Here is a 216-nt window from a genome sequence, read left to right as displayed (position 1 = left end):
GTAAGTCCACACCTAATACTGAAACAGGAAAAATTTCCTTGTCCCCCTCGCAGGCCGTGTGTCAGGGGTGTGGCTCGCTTCTTCAGTTCCTGACTCTCAAAACCCCTAGGGAGAGTAGGCAGATGGGCACGTCCTGGGGAGCGTGGGCTCCGACCCCACGGCAGCGTCTAGGGGTGAATGTTTTTGCAGCTCCTGAAGCCCCAGTGGGTATGTGTT

This window comes from Homo sapiens, chromosome 4, assembly GCF_000001405.40.
Source record: "Homo sapiens chromosome 4, GRCh38.p14 Primary Assembly".
In the NCBI taxonomy this organism is placed as follows: domain Eukaryota; kingdom Metazoa; phylum Chordata; class Mammalia; order Primates; family Hominidae; genus Homo; species Homo sapiens.
Note: the sequence above shows the minus strand (reverse complement) of the source record.